General features: G+C 38.2%; 1 protein-coding gene across 23 annotated transcripts in view; it reads right to left on the reverse strand.

Moving 5' to 3' along the window:
- SUPT3H (SPT3 homolog, SAGA and STAGA complex component) overlaps positions 1–20,115 on the reverse strand; it is a 568,878-nt gene that overhangs the window by 92,304 nt on the left and 456,459 nt on the right. For 7 of the 23 annotated variants that reach the window (NM_001350324.2, XM_011514953.4, XM_011514954.4 and 4 more), the window contains one exon: positions 10,641–10,711. The exons of the other annotated variants lie outside the window; for them this stretch is intronic. In NM_001350324.2, the coding sequence (NP_001337253.1) occupies positions 10,664–10,711 (48 nt within the window). In that variant the 3' untranslated portion in view covers positions 10,641–10,663. The remainder of the gene's footprint in view (positions 1–10,640; positions 10,712–20,115) is intronic. 23 annotated transcript variants of the gene reach the window in all.

A 20,115-nucleotide genomic window follows, 5' to 3' on the forward strand; every position in this document is an offset into this window, starting at 1 on the left:
AACTACGTGACGAATGCACAAGCCTCAGTAGCCGATATGATCGACTGGAAGAAAGGGTATCAGTGATGGAAGATCAAATGAATGAAATGAAGCGAGAAGAGAAGTTTAGAGAAAAAAGAATAAAAAGAAACGAACAAAGCCTCCAAGAAATATGGGACTATGTGAAAAGACCAAATCTACGTCTGATTGGTGTACCTGAAAGTGACAGGGAGAATGGAACCAAGTTGGAAAACACTCTGCAGGATATTATCCAGGAGAACTTCCCCAATCTAGCAAGGCAGGCCAACATTCAGATTCAGGAAATACAGAGAACGCCACAAAGATACTCCTCGAGAAGAGCAACTCCAAGACACATAATTGTCAGATTCACCAAAGTTGAAATGAAGGAAAAAATGTTAAGGGCAGCCAGAGAGAAAGGTCGGGTTACCCACAAAGGGAAGCCCATCAGACTAACAGCTGATCTCTCACCAGAAACTCTACAAGCCAGAAGAGAGTGGGGGCTAATATTCAACATTCTTAAAGAAAAGGATTTTCAACCCAGAATTTCATATCCAGCCAAACTAAGCTTCAGAAGTGAAGGAGAAATAAAATCCTTTACAGACAAGCAAATGCTGAGAGATTTTGTCACCACCAGGCCTGCCCTAAAAGAGCTCCTGAAGGAAGCACTAAACATGGAAAGGAAAAACTGGTACCAGCCACTGCAAAATCATGCCAAATTGTAAAGACCATCGAGGCTAGGAAGAAACTGCATCAACTAACGAGCAAAATCACCAGCTAACATCATAATGACATGATGAAATTCACACATAACAATATTAACCTTAAATGTAAATGGGCTAAATGCTCCAATTAAAAGACACAGACTGGCAAATTGGATAAAGAGTCATGATCCATCAGTGTGCTGTATTTAGGAAACCCATCTCATGTGCACAGACACACAGAGGCTCAAAATAAAGGGATGGAAGAAGATCTACCAAGCAAATGGAAAACAAAAAAAGGCAGGATTGCAGGGGTTGCAATCCTAGTCTCTGATAAAACAGACTTTAAAATTACAAAGATCAAAAGAGACAAAGAAGTCCATAACATAATGGTAAAGGGATCAATTCAACAAGAAGAGCTAACTATCCTAAATATATATGCACCCAATACAGGAGCACCCAGATTCATAAAGCAAGTCCTCAGAGACCTACAAAGAGACTTAGACTCCCACAATAATAATGGGAGACTTTAACACCCCACTGTCAATATTAGACACATCAACGAGACAGAAAATTAACAAGGATATCCAGGAATTGAACTCAGCTCTGCACCAAGCTGACCTAAAAGACATCTACAGAACTCCCCACTGCAAATCAACAGAATATACATTCTTCTCAGCACCACACTGCACTTACTCCAAAATTGACCACATAGTTGGAAGCAAAACACTCCTCAGCAAATGCAAAAGAACAGAAATTATAACAAACTGTCTCTCAGACCACAGTGCAATCAAACCAGAACTCAGGATTAAGAAACTCACTCAGAACTGCTCAACTACATGGAAACTGAACAACCTGCTCCTGAATGACTACTGGGTACATCATGAAATGAAGGCAGAAATAAAGATGTCCTTTGAAACCAACGAGAACAAAGACACAACATACCAGAATCTCTGGGACACATTCAAAGCAGTGTGTAGAGGGAAATTTATAGCACTAAATGCCCACAAGAGAAAGCAGGAAAGATCTAAAACTGACACCCTAACATCACAATTAAAAGAACTAGAGAAGCAAGAGCAAACAAATTCAAAAGCTAGCAAAAGGCAAGAAATAACTAAGATCAGAGCAGGACTGAAGGAGATAGAGACACAAAAAACCCTTCAAAAAATCAATGAATCCAGTAGCTGGTTTTTTGAAAAGAACAACAAAATTGATAGACCGCTAGCAAGACTAATAAAGAAGAAAAGAGAGAAGAATCAAATAGACACAATAAAAAATGATAAAGGGGATATTACCACTGATCCCACAGAAATACAAACTACCATCAGAGAATACTATAAACACCTCTACGCAAATAAACTAGAAAATCTAGAAGAAATGGATAAATTCCTGGACACATACACCCTCCCAAGACTAAACCAGGAAGAATTTGAATCTCTGAATAGACCAATAACAGGCTCTGAAATTGAGGCAATAATTAATAGCTTACCTACCAAAAAAAGTCCAGGACCAGATGGATTCACAGCCGAATTCTACCAGAGGTACAAGTAGGAGCTGCTACCATTCCTTCTGAAAGTATTCCAATCAACAGAAAAAGAGGGAATCCTCCCTAACTCATTTTATGAGGCCAGCATCATCCTGATACCAAAGCCGGGCAGAGACACCACCAAAAAAGAGAATTTTAGACCAATATCTGTGATTAATATTGATGCAAAAATCCTCAATAAAATACTGGCAAACCGAATCCAGCAGCACATCAAAAAGCTTATCCACCATGATCAAGTGGGCTTCATCCCTGGGATGCAAGGCTGGTTCAACATACGAAAATCAATAAACCTAATCCAGCATATAAACAGAACCAATGGCAAAAAACCATGATTATCTCAATAGATGCAGAAAAGGCCTTTGACAAAATTCAACAGCCCTTCATCCTAAAAACTCTCAATAAATTAGGTATTGATGGGATGCATCTCAAAATAATAAGAGCTATCTATGACAAACCCATAGCCAATATCATACAGAATGGGCAAAAACCGGAAGCATTCCCTTTGAAAACTGGCACAAGACAGGGATGCCCTCTCTCACCACTCCTATTCAACATAGTGTTGGAAGTTCTGGCCAGGGAGAAGGAAATAAAGGGTATTCAATTAGGAAAAGAGGAAGTCAAATTGTCCCTGTCTGCAGATGACATGATTGTATATCTAGAAAACCCCATTGTCTCAGCCCCAAATCTCCTTAAGCTGATAAGCAACTTCAGCAAAGTCTCAGGATACAAAATCAACCTGCAAAAATCACAAGCATTCTTATACACCAATAACAGACAAACAGAGAGCCAAATCATGAGTGGACTCCCATTCACAATTGCTTCAAAGAGAATAAAATACCTAGGAATCCAACTTACAAGGGACATGAAGGACCTCTTCAAGGAGAAGTACAAACCACTGCTCAAAGAAATAAAAGAGGACACAAACAAATGGAAGAACACTCCATGCTCATGGATAGGAAGAATCAATATCATGAAAATGGCCATACTGCCCAAGGTAATTTATAGATTCAATGCCATCCCCATCAAGCTACCAATGACTTTCTTCACAGAATTGGAAAAAACTACTTTAAAGTTCATATGGAACCAAAAAAGAGCTTGCACCGCGAAGTCAATCCTAAGCCAAAAGAACAAAGTTGGAGGCATCACGCTACCTGACTTCAAACTATACTACAAGGCTACAGTAACCAAAACAGCATGGTACTGGCACCAAAACAGAGATATAGACCAATAGAACAGAACAGAGCCCTCAGAAATAATGCCACATATCTACAACCATCTGAACTTTGACAAACCTGACAAAAACAAGAAATGGGAAAACGATTCCCTGTTAAATTAATGGTGCTGGGAACACTGGCTGGCCATATGTAGAAAGCTGAAACTGGATCCCTTCCTTACACCTTATACAAAAATTAATTCAAGATGGATTAAAGACTTAAACGTTAGACCTAAAACCATAAAAACCCTAGAAGAAAACCTAGGCAATACCATTCAGGACATAGGCATGGGCAAGGACTTCATGTCTAAAACACCAAAAGCAATGGCAACAGAAGCCAAAATTGACAAATGGGATCTAATTAAACTAAAGAGCTTCTGCACAGCAAAAGAAACTACCATCAGAGTGAACAGGCAACCTACAGAATGGAAGAAAATTTTTGCAATCTACTCATCTGACAAAAGGCTAATATCCAGAATCTACAATGATCTCCAACAATTTACAAGAAAAAAACAAACAGCCCCATCAAAAAGTGGGCAAAGGATACGAACAGACACTTCTCAAAAGAAGACATTTATGCAGCCGAAAGACACATGAAAAAATGCTCATCATCACTGGCCATCAGAGAAATGCAAATCAAAACCACAATGAGATACCATCTCACACCAGTTAGAATGGCAATCATTAAAAAGTCAGGAAACAACAGGTGCTGGAGAGGATGTGGAGAAACAGGAACACTTTTACACTGTTGGTGGGACTGTAAACTAGTTCAACCATTGTGGAAGTCAGTGTGGCGATTCCTCAGGGATCTTGAACTAGAAATACCATTTGACCCAGCCATCCCATTACTGGGTATATACCCAAAGGATTATAAATCATGTTGCTATAAAGACACATGCACATGTATGTTTATTGCGGCACTATTCACAATAGCAAAGACTTGGAACCTACCCAAATGTCCAACCAACAATGATAGACTGGATTAAGAAAATGTGGCACATATACACCACGGAATACTATGCAGCCATAAAAAATGATGAGTGCATGTCCTTTGTAGGGACATGGATGAAGCTGGAAACCATCATTCTCAGCAAACTATCGCAAGGACAAAAAAACCAAACACCACATGTTCTCACTCACAGGTGGGAACTGAACAATGAGAACACATAGACACAGGAAGGGGAACATCACACACCGGGGCCTGTTGTGCGGTGGGGGGATGGGGAGGGATAGCATTAGGAGATATACCTAATGTTAAATGATGAGTTAATGGTTGCAGCACATCAAATGGCACATGTATACATATGTAACTAACCTGCACATTGTGCACATGTACCCTAAAACCTAAAGTATAATAAAACTATTTTAGTTATTTTGAAGAAATATAAAGCCATAACAAAAGCCATTATGCTTTTTACTCGAGTGTTAATGAATGCAAAGAGATTAGATAGTAGTATTTAATTAATGATGTTTATCTTCAGTATATTTAATATGAGTAATTTTTCACCTCCTTTACAGAGGAACAATGTTTATTGTTTAAAGGTGGGAAATGATGGCTAAGCCACCAAATCTATTTCACGATATTTGACTGTATTATGCATTGTACAATGGATTTCATTTTTCATGTAATATCTCAGTTTTCTTACCTATAAAACAAAAGCAGTGGCTGGGCGCGGTGGCTCATGCCTGTAATCGCAGCGCTTTGGGAGGCCGAGTTGGGCGGATCACGAGGTCAGGAGTTTGAGACCAGCCTGGCCAACATTGTGAAACCCGTCTCTAATAAAAATACAAAAAATTAGCCAGGCATGGTGGTGGGCCCCTATAATCCCAGTTACTTGGGAGGCTGAGGCAGGAGAATCGCTTAAACCTGGGAGGCAGAGGTTGCAGTGAGCCGAGACTGCGCCACTGCACTCCAACCTGGGCAACAGAGTGAGACTCCGTCTCAAAAAACAAACAAAAAAAATTCACAAGGGTTCCCAGTCTGTATTGTTTTATTATCTCAAAAGTTTAAATAAGATGTTCTCCTGCTCTTGGCCATTGTTGTTTTTACTCTCAAATGCATTAGTACTTTTCCTGATGTACTTTGGAGGTTGACCCATGAATTTCATAGACTTTCTGCTGGAATTTAAGGGTGTCTGATTAGATGTGGAATGTAGACGGACACAACCTTCAAGTGATTAACGTCATTGTTTTCTTGCTGTGTCATTACCTTGATGATTAAGATACAATTCTTTTAAAAACCAAATGACACTAGTTATGTTTCTCAAATTAGAAAACTATTTGTTATTTTAAAGAAATATGAAGCCATAACAAAAACCATTATGTTTTTTACTCCAGAGTGTAAATGAATGCAGAGATTAGACAGTGGTATTTAATTAATGATGTTTATTTTCACTATATTTAATCTGAGTAATTTTTCACCTCCTTTACGGGGGAATAATGTTTATTGTTTAAAGGTGGGAAATGATGGTTAAGCCACCAAATCTATTTCACGATATTTGACTGTATTAGCATTGTACAATGGATTTCATTTTTTATGTAATGTCTCAGTTTTCTTACCTATAAAATAAAAGCAGTGGCCGGGCATGGTAACTCATGCCTGTAATCCCGACACTTTGGGAGGCTGAGACGGGCGGATCACCTGAGGTGGGGAGTTCAAGACTAGGCTGGCCAACATGGTGAGACCCTATCTCTACTAAAAATACAAAAAGTTAACCAGGCATGGTGGTACACAACTGTAATCCCAGCTACTTGGGAGGCTGAGGCAGGAGAGTTGCTTGAACCTGGGAGGCAGAGGTTGCAGTGAGCCCAGATCATGCCACTGCACTCCAGCCTGGGCAACACAGTGAGACTCTGTCTCAAAAAAGGAAAACAGTAAAATTATTATACTCTAATTTGTATGCGGTTGTTACAGGCATTATTGTTTTGGAAGGTGATATTTTTCATCTTGTACACAACATGGCTGTCTCCATTTTGTGAGATGCTGACCTCACAGGCTTTCAAAATTTCTGATTTGCTAAAAATATTAGTAATGAATGTTTATCTATATTTTCCTCAATGTTAAGTTAAAGAAAAAGAAAAACAAAACTTGCTTAGTTACTTTCTGAAGATAAGTTTTGATGATGTGGCTCTGACTATGGTAAAGTAAGGAACTGTGGAGGACCAAAGAGCCAGGAGAACTTGAAAGAGTAGCAAGAAATAACCAAAACTGCTGAAATCCATTTCATTGACCTTCTCAAGGAAAAAATTTTAACAACTCCCCATGTGTCCAAAGAATTTAATTTTAACCAGTGCAAAAATGTAGCAAGATTTTTAGAAATAACTTTTTTTTCTTTTCTTTTTTTTTTTTTTTGAGATGGAGTCTCGCTCTGTCACTCAGGCTGGAGTGCAGTGGAGCTATCTGAGCTCACTGCAAGCTCTGCCTCCTGGGTTCACATCATTCTCCTGCCTCAGCCTCCCAAGTAGCTGGGACTACAGGCGCCCACCACCATGCCCAGCTAATTTTTTGTAATTTTAGTAGAGACGGGGTTTTACCGTGTTAGCCAGGATGGTCTCGATCTCCTGACCTCGTGATCCGCCCACCTAGGACTCCCAAAGTGTTGGGATTACAGGCATAAGCCACCGTGTCTGGCCAGAAATACCATTTTTAAAAGCTAGACACTGGGCACTGAATCTCAATTCTAAACAGAAAAGACATACTACGCATGAATTCATGGAACTTGCCTGGCTGCCAAAAATTTGCTATTTCACACTGGTACTATGGGGAAAGTATTTAAGAGAACTGCCAACTACGCAATCTAGCTTCGTAAATTAGACCCATTCCATGTGTAAAGGAAAGTCACCTTTACACCCCAGAAAGTCTTCACTGCAAGCCAACTTTGTGCCTAGCACTATGCAAAGAACTGTGGAAAGGTAGGTATATATAATTCCTGACATATCAGACATGTAGGCCACTAAAATATCTGAGTACAAACTAAAAAAAAAATATTGAAATATTTGGTTTATAGAAGTACTCACTGGTTCAGCCTTACTCTGAGCTAATATTGTCTCTAAAATTTTAATAAATAGGTAATAGTGGAAAATTGGTTTAGAAACTCTAAATTATAGCATAGGGAAATATTAAATAATAAGCTTTCATCTATCTCCTCAGCAACAACTACTTTTATGATTTTCATGTGTCCTTCCAGATAATTCTATGTATATACTAGCATATATATGTATACACATATAGCTATAAAAATATATCTTTAATTACCCCCTTAATATAAATAACACTATGTATCTTTCTGCTGCTCTATACCTAAGAGGTGTGTGTGTGTGTGTGCGTGTGTGTGTGTGTGTGTGTGTGTGTGTGGTTACTAACATATTTTGGGAATTTTTTCTATATCATATGCTAAACTTGCTATCCATATTTGGGTGTATTTCTGATCTTTCTAGGCTGCTCAATTTATCTATTTATGTATTAACATCAAATTGAATTACTGTAGCTTTGTAATGTTTTGATATTGGGCCTAGTTAATTAATAACTCCCTCCCTAATTATACTTTTCAAGAAATTTCCTGGCTCTTCTTATATATTTCATTTTCTATATGAAATTCTGGATCACCTATTTAGTCCTTTCCCCAACCTCTGATTTTGATTTTTAAAAATTGGGATCAGAAGTGCTACATCTTTAAGCTCACACTTATCCTATAAAATGCTCAGATTAAGTCTTAACCATGTAGCATACTAATATATAACAATTATCTTGAATTTTATAGTTATCTAGAATTTTCCTATGTACGAAGACTGTTCACTTTTATTATCTCCTTTAACCTTTTCAACCACTATGGCACCATGCAGGGGCCTGTTTTTTGACTCTCACATTACAGATGGAGAGAGGCGCATGGACTTGTCCTCAAGGCCTGTAGGTAAGGGCTCTGACACCTAGCTCAGGCCCAGGGCTCTTCCCATTATACCAAAGGCTGAGGGCATTACAAGTCTTCAGGAAACATTTTCAAAATAGGGAATGCTACCATTTTAGAAATGTTGGCAGGCTATCAAATTTTCAAACTTTAAATGAAGTTTAAAACACAATAATACTGGCATGAATACAGTGAAATGAGAACTCTCACGAATTGCTGGTGGGAGGGTAAAGTAGCATAGCGCTTTTGGAAAGTATTTGGACAATACATACCAAAAGTCTTAAAGTGTTTCAGAGGAAGAAGAAAATTGCTACTGGGATTTCTGGGCTGCAGTTCCCTCTGCTCATGAACCCACTTCCCTTGCTCCAGTTGGGCCTATTTCCCCACTGTCTTCTGAGTCCTGTAATCATGCTCAACTCTCTACCTGTCTGTAGAACCTCCCTTCCCCTATCTTCTCCTTCTCTCTTTTCCCCTACACCTTGGACCTTCAGGCTGGCAAGGTGTCACTGAAACCTGACCTTCCATGTTTCCCAACATTTCCCATTAGCTCCAGATCCTTACATGTCATGCCTTCATTCCCAGTCTCTTATCTTCTCCCAAGGTTTCTCTACTGCGTATCTTGCTGGTGGAGAAAATTGTTTACTATATTCCTTTCATTTTTATTTCAGAATTAATAACCATTGTTCTCATTTTCCAATTAAATGACAAAATTAAAACTTTTTCAAACAATGCACATCCCCTTACTTACTTCATGGGATTTAAGTAACTTTTCCAGAAATAACAACAAAATAAACCCCAAAATGATAAGACAGTCACTGAAATACTTTTCTCTGAATAATATGCCTTTATCTACCATGACCAGAAAATATTATCTAAAGAAATTAAGATTGTGAATCTTCTTCATAATTAGGCAAATATTTTCATTTCCTTTTTCTAATTTCTCTTTGATTTAGAAAATGTATTTTCTTTCAAATTAAAAAAAAAAAAGGGGGCCAGGCATGGTGGCTCACGCCTGTAACCCCAGCACTTTATGAGGCCGAGGAGGGTGGATCACTCGAGGTCAGGAGTTCAAGACCAGTCTGGCCAACATGGTGAAACCCCATCTTCACTAAAAAATACAAAAATTAGCCAGGTATGATGGCAGGTGCCTATACTCCCAGCCACTCGGGAGGCTTAGGCAGGAGAACCATTTGAACCTGGGAGGCAGAGGTTGCAATGAGCCGAGATCATGCCACCGCACTCCAGCCTGGGCAACAGAGTGAGACTCCATCTCAAAAAAAAAAAAAAAAAAAAAAAAAAGTAGCTTCTTTTATAAATGAAATAGTCTAACTTAGATATAATTGTTTTTGATGAGTTTTTTTTTAAAGCTATTGCTAACACTATTGGTAAGCTTTTGCTAACATTATTATCCATATCAAGTAACTATTGATAGCACAATTCAAAATTGATTTCATTTTCCTCCAAAAAGGCTTTGAGAATCTTCTGTTGTTCTCTTTTAGTGCATCTTCTTTTGTCTTAGAATTAATCACTTAAATTTTTTAGTCAGCATTCCCACCACATGTTTGACAGTGGTTGCAAGGTCAAATTTGGTATATATTTAATTAGGATGTTTTTTCCTTTGGGCAGATTCAGAAAATATCATAACTATCTTCCAAATTGTTCCAAAGAATGTCACTGTTATTGACACAACTCCTAGCAATACATTCAAAAGACGATGCATTACTTACGGCATAAAAAATACTTCTGGAATTTATGCCAAAATTCTGGCATGTATACCTTTTCTTTTGTCAGCTGTATTAGTACCATCATGATGGTCTTGCCCTTCAGATGATTTTAAATTTTTAAAATAAAGCTGCAATTTTTATTATAATTTTTTGAAAATTTAATGGACTCATTAAATATTTCTATTTTAAAGAAGGTATTCACAATTCTAATGTCTACTATCCATATAGTTGCCAATATAAGGAATGACTATTACAGTTCATGCACTTTACATCTAGGCCTAAATATGTACCAGTGTAAGGGTAATACGAATTGTTACTGTTTTTCAGCTAACATTTGCAACTGCTGTGGATACTGTGTTAATTTGTGAGCATATTTGGAACCTTGAATTAGAACATGGAGAGAGGCAAGAAAACTGATGCTTGGCACCACTAGGAAACAATGCTTCCTTATGCCAGAAACTATTGCATTCATACCCAGAGAAAGGCTTTGATGAGTTAATTTCCTTTCCCTCTTAAATAAAAGCTCTGCAGCTCAAATCTTCCCCTTGCTCTTACTTAAGCAGTGTCTGTCTACGAAGTCATGGCAGCACAATCCACAGAACTTCATGGAATTCAGCAGCAGTTTCCTTTGGAGGCAGGGGGTGATAAAATATATATAACAAAATTTGTCATTTTAACAATTTTTAAGTGTACAAGTCAGTGGCATTAATTACATTAATAATATTGTACAAGCATCATCATCTACTTTTTCATCATCCCGAACAGAAGTTCTGTGCCCATTAAGCAATAATTCCTCCTCTTCCCCCACTGCTGTAGCTTCTAATCTACTTTCTGCCTGTGTGAATTTGCTCATTCTAGATATTTCCAGTAAGTGGGATCATACAGTATTTGTCCTTTTGTGTCTGGCTTATTTCACTTAGCATAATATTTTCAAGGTTTATCCATGTTATAGCACGTATCAGAACCTCACTCCTTTTTATGGCTGAATAATATTTCATTGTATGTATATACTATGTTTTGCATCCCCATTCATCATCAGTTGCCTCTTATTCAGGGCACATTGTAAGAGATGTGGAGAAGTGGAACCTGAACAATGTTTGTGATAGGAGATACTCTCTACACTGTGGGACCTGGGGCAGGAGTCCTTCTGCCTGGTCTGAGAGCAGTAGTGCTGCCCCACAAGAATCACTGGCAGAGATTCTTGATTATTCCAGTTGTTGTTCCCTTTACCTCTGGATTCCTAAAGCACCTAGAACCAATGATGTGAAGTTTAACACTTATCTACAGAATGAGTTACTGTTGCCCTCCTTACAATTAAATGTAAAGTCTCTTTTTGTTCTCAGCTGTTGATAGTTGATACAGAAGGAAATGAACACTGGCTCTGAATGTGGCAGTTACTGTGCTAGGTGAGGAGGCACCATAGATGTTCAGTTTCTTCCCCTTCTCTCTTCTCCAGTGTCTAATATTGCACTGATAATACACTAGGAATTCAAAATTATTGTCGATTCATTGATTGGAAAATGCCTTCTTCCCAAGAAAATGTGTGAAATACTTGACTCTCATTCTTCTTTGTTCATCAGAAAAACTGATTTCCCTGGCCAGTAAGAAGAGGCAAACCAAAGCTTACCCCTCAGGAAAAAGAGGCTTCAGAGAATTGCATTTCCTGATTGTAGATGGGAGAGGGGATTTCTTCTCCCTTTCTTCCCAAGGCTCATCTCTATCTGCATAATGGAGTAGAATCATCATCCTTCCAGTTGACAGTCTACATTAGGACACATTTCTTTGCATTATTTTTTCTTTGCTACAATGCTGAGAATTCTTCTCTTTTTCCCAAGGAAAGCAGAGTCACAGCATGCCTGTGTTTATCATTGGCTTTTATTTGGCATAATTAAAACAAAAAAAGATGAATTCTCCTCCAGTCAGGAAACATGTGAAGCCCCATCTTCAACTTGCAGCTGTCTAGCTTTTTTATTTAGCCATATAGCACAAAATATTTTATGTTGGGAATTTCTTAACAGGATGAGAGAAGGGCTCCTCATTAAGAATGTAGACAACTACAGTCTGCATGGGAACCTGATGAATTTCATGGCTGCATGTGAATTTGTTATCCAAGAAGAGAACATAACTTCCAAATTTGAAAACAAGACGTCTAGACTCTTTTCTTAATTGATGACTACACATAAAAATGTATAATAAAAATGTGTCTGCAACTCTACAAAAGCATCCCACTAACAAAAGCACTTTTATCAGAAAAATTAGGTTGTGTCTATGAGAACACACATTCATCTAACAAATAGATGCGTCTTACTGTCCATATTATTCTGCTACTTGGGGTTCTTCAAATTTTGTTTTCCAAGTGGTTATTTTTGGTATCTAAAATTTTTCAGACAAAAGCTTCCTAAATGGATAGTGATGATTCAGTGCCACCCCTATCATATAGTTTCATGTGTAACTTGTGATTTTCATAACAAATGTTTATCAACTATCAACTTGAGTCCTCATTAAATATTTTCCATTTAATAGCTCATAAAATAGTCACATGAGTAAAATCTGCCTTCATCAAGTACCATTACAAAGAATAATATTCTATTATAATAATATTCTATCCAGAACCTAATAGTTAGGCATTGCTCCTTTGAATACATTTTTTTAAAAAATTGCTGTCAGGAACAAATAGGTAGACAGAATGGACTTCTGTGATAAAAGTAACCATGAAGATTAAATGTTTTATACATATTACCTAGTCACCTAAAAGCCACTTTTGCAAAATGATTAAAGAGTTTTATCAGTGAAGTTAAAAGATAATCCTCAGAGGCTTAAAATTGACAGCAAAGTTCTTTCTTGTTGGTTATGTGGAGCTTTGCTCCTCAGTGCTGAATGAGGTGCAGAGTGCAAAGGTCAATTAAACAGGCATTTATTAGCTCCAATTATAGTTCCAGCATGGTGCTAGGAGCTCAGCTTCATACTTTTCCCAGTATGGTTAGGGTAGTACATAACTACCCACTGAACATATTATTTCAAAACAGGTATTACTCATGAGGTAGCTTGGGCATTATTTTGCCTTGGATTCATGAGGAATCAATGATCAATCCTGGACAGTAATAATCAAACAATCTTATGATTTCTTTTGGCTGCCCTGCAGTTACCCATATGCAAATTAATCATAGGTAATGAAGTGTACATTTATATAAGGCACATTAAGTTTGAGGGGCCTAAAACTGATTAGGGAGATTAAAATTGGACTCTATCAGGTGGCTGTTGTCTCTTCAGACCATCGTTCTGTACACTTGTCCATCCATTCATCAATCTTTTATGTTGAGCTACAAATAAACAAAAGTATTGTCCTTTGCTGAGAGAGGAACCCAAGATGATTAAGACGCAGTCCTTTGGTCTACCTGAGGATACAGGTCCTCACCAGGTGTGGATCAGATCAGGAAATACGATGTATCTTGGAGCAAGTGGGTCAAAGCTTAGGACTAGATCCAAAAGGAGAAAACAGTTCAAACAAAGTCAAGGAAGTAAGAAAGAGATGAGATCTGGACTCTTACTACCATGCCCTGTATCACCAGGAATTCCCTGGGCACATATCTATCTAAATCTGAACATCCAATTCTTTCTCCTTACCTTACCTCTAAAGAAAGTATGAGTGCTAAGAAGCCATCTTGGGATAAAAGTAAAGAGAGTGGCAAAATTCTCCCAACTGAATGCATGAGAAATACTGCTACCAAAATTTGGAAGGGCCTCAGAGAGTTTGTTCATATAACATTACACATTTTTCTTTCCACTGGGGAGAAAGAAACACTTTCAACTTAGGTTTGAAGAAAAGTATGTAACTATCAGATGCTAAGATAACCTGGCGACCAAGATTTCACAATTAAATTCTTAGGAAATTTCTGGAAACTGTATACATTCTCATCTGTCTTGAATAATTTACGGTTCTGCTGAAATAGACTAAGAGAATAAACCAAAGATCATACTAGTTACCATAAACCAAAAGTAAAGTTCTAAGGCCCCCCAACCATCTGAATGGACTTTCTCCTTGGCCAGTGCATTCTAAAATTTAACCTGAAAGACTAGTTCATGCCATGATGGGAAGTGGGGGTTGGACATGCCACATTATACCCTCCAGCATTAACATCAACACAGACCTTAAGTCTGATAAGAAACATTTACACTCTATTCTCTCTGAAGTCTGCTACCTGGAGGCTTCATCTGCATGATAAAATTTTTGGTCTCCACAACCTCTTATTGTAACTCAGACATTCATTTCTATTGATAATAACTCAACCAATTGCCAATCAGAAAAATTTTAAATCTACCTATAACGTGGAAGCTCCTGACCCCTCCCCACTTCAAGGTGTCCCGCCTTTCTGGACCAGACCAATAAATGTACTTGATTGATGTCTCATGTCTCCCTAAAATGTAAAAAACCAAGCTGCACCCCAACCACCTTGGACATATGTTCTCAGGACCTCCCAAGGGCTGCATCATGGGCCGTGGTTACTCATATTTGGCTCAGAATAAATCTTTTCAAATATTTTACAGAGTTTGACTCTTTTCATCAACATTATCAACTTAAAGTGTTATTGCTGAACAATTTTGTTGAATTATAGATTTTCTCATCTAGATGTTTGAAACGTTAAATTTTCACAGGTGTACAAAGACATATTTTAAGAGATGACAATGACTCCACACTAGTAGAAGTTTAGGAATCAGTAAAAGCAGAAGTAGGAACTATTTCTGGGTAAGGATCCTTTCCTGATGCTCAAGCTGGAAACTTATCATTAAAGCCAATTCACAATACACTGCATCTTTCATTTTTTTCTTTCAATCTAAAGCTTCCAACTTCAGTAAGCTCTCATTCCTGGAAATGATTTTGGTAGTTACTTTTTGGAACCCACAATTTCTGTAGATCCTCATCTTTTTACCATACCCTTACTGCCTCTAAGCCTTATTCCCCATATGTGGTCAGTAATGCCATGGACACTGGGAAGTAAAATGGTACTCAGAATGGGTCTGTTTGCCCACACAAGGGCAAACATGCAGGGCAGGAAAGGAGTCCAGCATTTGTGGATCTCAAGATATTCTGAAAGGTTTTGGTAAAGAGAACATATTATTACTAACTGAAAATGGACATAGAAACATTAGGGAATTTTTTGAAGGCTATAAAGAAAGCCAATTATGGCTCTGGGTCTCTGTCTCACACTCAAATGTCAGGCTGGGCTTCCCTTTGTGATTCTCTGAAGGGTACTATTGGCAAACTAGCATTGTAATCTACATTTAAATTCTAATATGATAATAATGATTTTTAAATACTGCATTTCTTTAAGCATGTTCTATGTTAAGCACAGTGCTGGAAGCTTTGAAGTATTATTACTGACACTTATTAAAAGTTGCTAATTTGGGGGCTAGGCACAGAGGCTCATGTCTGTAATTTCCCAGTACTTTGGGAGGCTGAGGCAGCTGGATCGCTTGAGTTCAGGAGTTCAAGGCTGTGGGTAACATGGTGAGACCCTGTCTCTACAAAAAACAAACAAACAAACAAACAAACAAACAAAACTACTTGGGCATGACAGTATACGTCTGTAGTCCCAGCTATTTGGGAGGCTGAGGCGGGAGGATTGTTTGAGCCTGGGAGGTTGAGGCTGCAGTGAGCCAGGGCTGCACCACTGCATTCCAGCCTGGGTAACAGAGTGAGACCCTGTCTCAAAAAGAAAAAAAAAAATTGCTAATTTTAACAAATCACAAAACTGACTCAGGCAAGTTGTCTGACTCAAAAGCCCTTGAAAAACCATCAAAGACAGTAGAATGTTAACTGGTCATTTACGTAAAATAGTGTTCATTAAATTTTTGGTTCATTTAGGATAATCATTTTAAATGAGACTGTATTTGAGACTGTATACACATACATATACATGTTTACACACATATACGTACAATATATGTACATTCTATCTAAAAGATCATACATGTGTGTACATATATGTTTTTAAAAGTCAAACTGACATATTAATGGAAACAGTGCTTACATCTCTGGTAGTGATTTTCTATTAGCAGCAGCCCTACATATGCTGCGTCTCTGAACAGCATGTCAGTGCCATGACTGTCTAAACATGCAAATATGACTGACAGACTCTTGAGACAGCTTTCACCTTGGTAGAGCACAGGGAGCACCACATAAATTTTCAGGAGTATAAATGAAGCCTCATGAGTCTTTTAGAATAAATACCTCCAGGCTAGGTGGGACCACAGCCAAGCAGCCTAGAAGTTCTATCCTTGCTTACAATAGTTTGTGAACTACGATACTGAGAGCTGTGTAATCCAAGTATTTTAAATACTTCCACACCATTTCCAGTACAATCATGGAAATTTAAAAATACTCCTCTATCATCATATATTATATAGAAAAAAACCAGTTCTTTGCAAAGCTGGCTTAAGTGAGATATTTGAGTACTTAAAACCTACTTTAAAATTTCTATCGGTAATGCCATGCTCTATCAGCACAATATTGGCTTCCTCATTAGCAAATTCACTCTAAGTAAATTCATTGGGGGTAATCTAGTGATACAGCTGGTAACCTGTGACATTAAGTTAAATGACCAATGTATCTCTAGAAAATTAGTTCAAAATGATGCATCATTTTGCCAAAAGGTCTTAGGAATTAGCTAAGATCTCTCTTTAGAAATATGAATCCCCTTGAAACCACTCCCACAAATAGCCAACATTTTAAGTAACTGCTAAGCCACCTGGTTTTCTCCAAGAAACATCATGAAACTCACAAGTTAGTAAAGTTTTGGAAAGCCTACAAAATCCCTATTTTTCTGACAAAGTTTACATATTTTGTTTCAGTGACTTTATTTCCCCTTTTCTGAGAATTAAAAAGTCCCCACATCAGATTTATAGTTCAAGCTACAGACTTATTTGCAAAAGAAGGACTTGTAAGTAGATGCCAAAGAACACTTCTTCATCACTTTAGTCTGGACTTGGCACAGTGTTTCAGATGGTATTCATTTGGAATAAAGAGATCGATGATATACCTTGTCCAATCCTCCTTTATAAGTGACTTTACTAGAAGTGGGTAAGGGCATAAAAATATAAATTCATCTGACTGTAGGCAACCAAAAATATACCAACTCATCTTGGAGTAATTTAACCAATAAGATGATTTAGAGGACAGTTCAGTGGCACCATTTTTGGAAGGCAAAAGCTTAGCAGAAGGAACATAAATCAAAGGTGACTGGCAGGTAAAGGATATATGCTGCAATCAGCCAAACCATGTGCATACTGGCACAAATTCAATAAGATCATTTATAAAATTTTTAAGGCAGAAGTACACAAAAGGGGGTCTGGTGCTAACGAAATCCACAGATAGCTTACACGCCACTGAAATAAACACTTCCAGATGCGGGTGTACAAAAACCTTTCACAGAAAGAAATGTTTTCTTTCATAAATCTGAAGGAGGGACACTTAGCAGGGAAGGGCAAAAATGCCTGAAATTGAGCCTGAGCTTCTTACAGACTGGAAGTGCTTATTGAGGTGGAATGATTGTATGGGTGATGATGAACTACATAGCAAGTCTCCTTTAGAAGCATCACTACAATCAGTAAGGCTGGATTTCTGTTAAATTGTACAAAAAGTGCTAACTCATCATTTCATAAATCCTATAAAATCTGGTGTGTAAGTTAGTGCTGCTCTCATTACGTTCCTTACAGTTTCTTTTTCAGGGGGCGTGGAAGAGCAATGACAGAGACGATAGCTTCTCACAGAGATAAAAGCTGCTAATCAAAGTTTAGGAAAATAATGCCTTGGATCTTACCCAAAGCTATTGCAGGCATGGCTTTAATGAAGGAAAAAAAAAGTCAAAACCTGGTTAGATTAGGCGTCTTCTAAGAATGCATGACCAAATTCATTAACGGTTTAGAAAGTCAATTTGTTCATCAAAACAGCATAATATGTGGGACTTTCTGGTCGTATATACAAACCCTCCCAGAAGTTCAAACAGAAAGCTATAGTGTATTTTTTTTTTTTTAAAGTTTAGATGACTTCTGCTTTGAGCTACCCCCACCCTTAACCAGGATATCCCCCTGAAATTAGTTTCCCTGGTGAATCTTTAAATTTAATGCAAGTTCTTCATTAAGTATATGAGCATTGAATTTAGTCTCGAGAACATTTCTAATTGTCTGTTCTATGCATTCAGCCAAATTGTAAACTTGCTATTTTTTTATTCTTCTCTCACTCAGGGTCTTATTCTACTTATTCTATACGGCAAATATATCTTGAATACATTTTGTCTTCTCTGGTCTCACGCCATTGCCTCAGAAGATGCTCTTTTAGCCTCTCGCCTGCAATATTGCAGTGCCACCTAATTTGTTTCCTTGCCTATTATATCCCCTCACACCAGTCTCTTCTCAACACAATCACTTCTTTTTCTTTTTTCTTTTTTATTTTTTGAGACCCAGTCTTGCTCTGTTGCCCAGGGTGGAGTGCAGTGGCGTGATCTCAGCTCACCACGACCTCCGCCTCCCAGGTTCAGGCGATTCTCCTGCCTCAGCCTCCCGAGTAGCTGGGATTACAGGCGCATGCCACCACACCCGGCTAATTTTTTGTATTTTTAGTAAAGACAGGGTTTCACTGTGTTAGCCAGGATGGTCTCCATCTCCTGACCTCGTTATCCACCCACCTCGGCCTCCCAAAGTGCTGGGATTACAGGCATGAGTCACTGTGCCCAACCCACAATCACTTATATTTTTCTACAACACAGAGCTGTTCATATTAATACTTTGCTTAAAAAAATCTGAAATAGCTCCTTAATGACTATGTCTGTTGTTTAAAAGAAAATTTCCCACTGGGTGTGGTGGCTCACATCTGTAATCCCAGCACTTTGGGAGGCCAAGGCAGGAGGATTGCTTGAGGCCAGGAGTTAGAGACCAGTCCGGGCAAGAGAGTGAGACCCCATCTCTCCAAAAAGTTTTAAAAAATTAGCCAGGCATGGTGGTGCATAACTACTTGGGAGCCTGAGGTACGAGGATCACTTGAGCCTGGGAGATGGAGGCTGCAGTGAGCTATTACTGCACTACTGCATCACAGCCTGGGTGATAGAATGGGACCTTGTTTCTTTCAAAAAAAAAAAAAAAAAAGACAGAAAAGGAAAAAGAAATTTAAGAGACAAAAATTTGTATAACTAGAGAAAACACTATTATTTGTGGGAAATCCATAATGTATTTTGGCAGAACAGTTTGCTAACTGCTGCCCTAAATCATAAAGTCTGGGTAAACTGGCTCGCAATTAAAAGTCCTTCTCAAAATGGCATCACTTTATCTTTGATGCTTCATCTCATCTCAACGTACTCCAGATCCAGTTCCTCATCTTTGCCTGAACAGCCATGCTACTTTCATACATCTATTTTATTTTTCATTTTATTCCTGCTCCTCTGTGTGCTTGTATTGTCTTTTCAAAATCACTATTCATTCCCTTCCCCTCTGTTTTATAAAGTCAAATATTAAACACCCTAAAAGTTTTCCTTCACTTCCTCAGGCAGATTGTGCCATCCTTTCGCCGTATCTAAGGGACTGTCCCTCTTTTAGTTACAACATCAGTCACATGGCACTGCTTATTTATTCACCTCCTTTGCTATATTTGGATAACTGGTTTCTTATCTCCATACACCATACCTCCCTCCCAATATATTTCTAACACAATGTTTGGCACATGCTTATTGAATAAATGCAGGTATCAAAGCTATAAGGATCTCAGGACACATGTGGATGTTAATAATGGTCACATGTAGTTCAGTTGTACAGATACGGATTCTTGTCCATACTCAAAAATCAAGTGCTGTCCTTTGTATGCGAAGTGTGCTTTCATTCTATCAGGAAGGCATGTACTTTGGATTGTTTTTCTAGCAGTGGTGGGTGACAGATTGACTCATAGCAGTACACAGTCTTGCCCTGCCTCCTTAATTTTTTATTTTAACCATTTGCAAGCTGGTTGTGTGAACGATAGACATTGTTTGCCATCAAAAATTAAGGC

The sequence above is a fragment of the Homo sapiens genome, chromosome 6 (genome assembly GCF_000001405.40).
Source record: "Homo sapiens chromosome 6, GRCh38.p14 Primary Assembly".
In the NCBI taxonomy this organism is placed as follows: domain Eukaryota; kingdom Metazoa; phylum Chordata; class Mammalia; order Primates; family Hominidae; genus Homo; species Homo sapiens.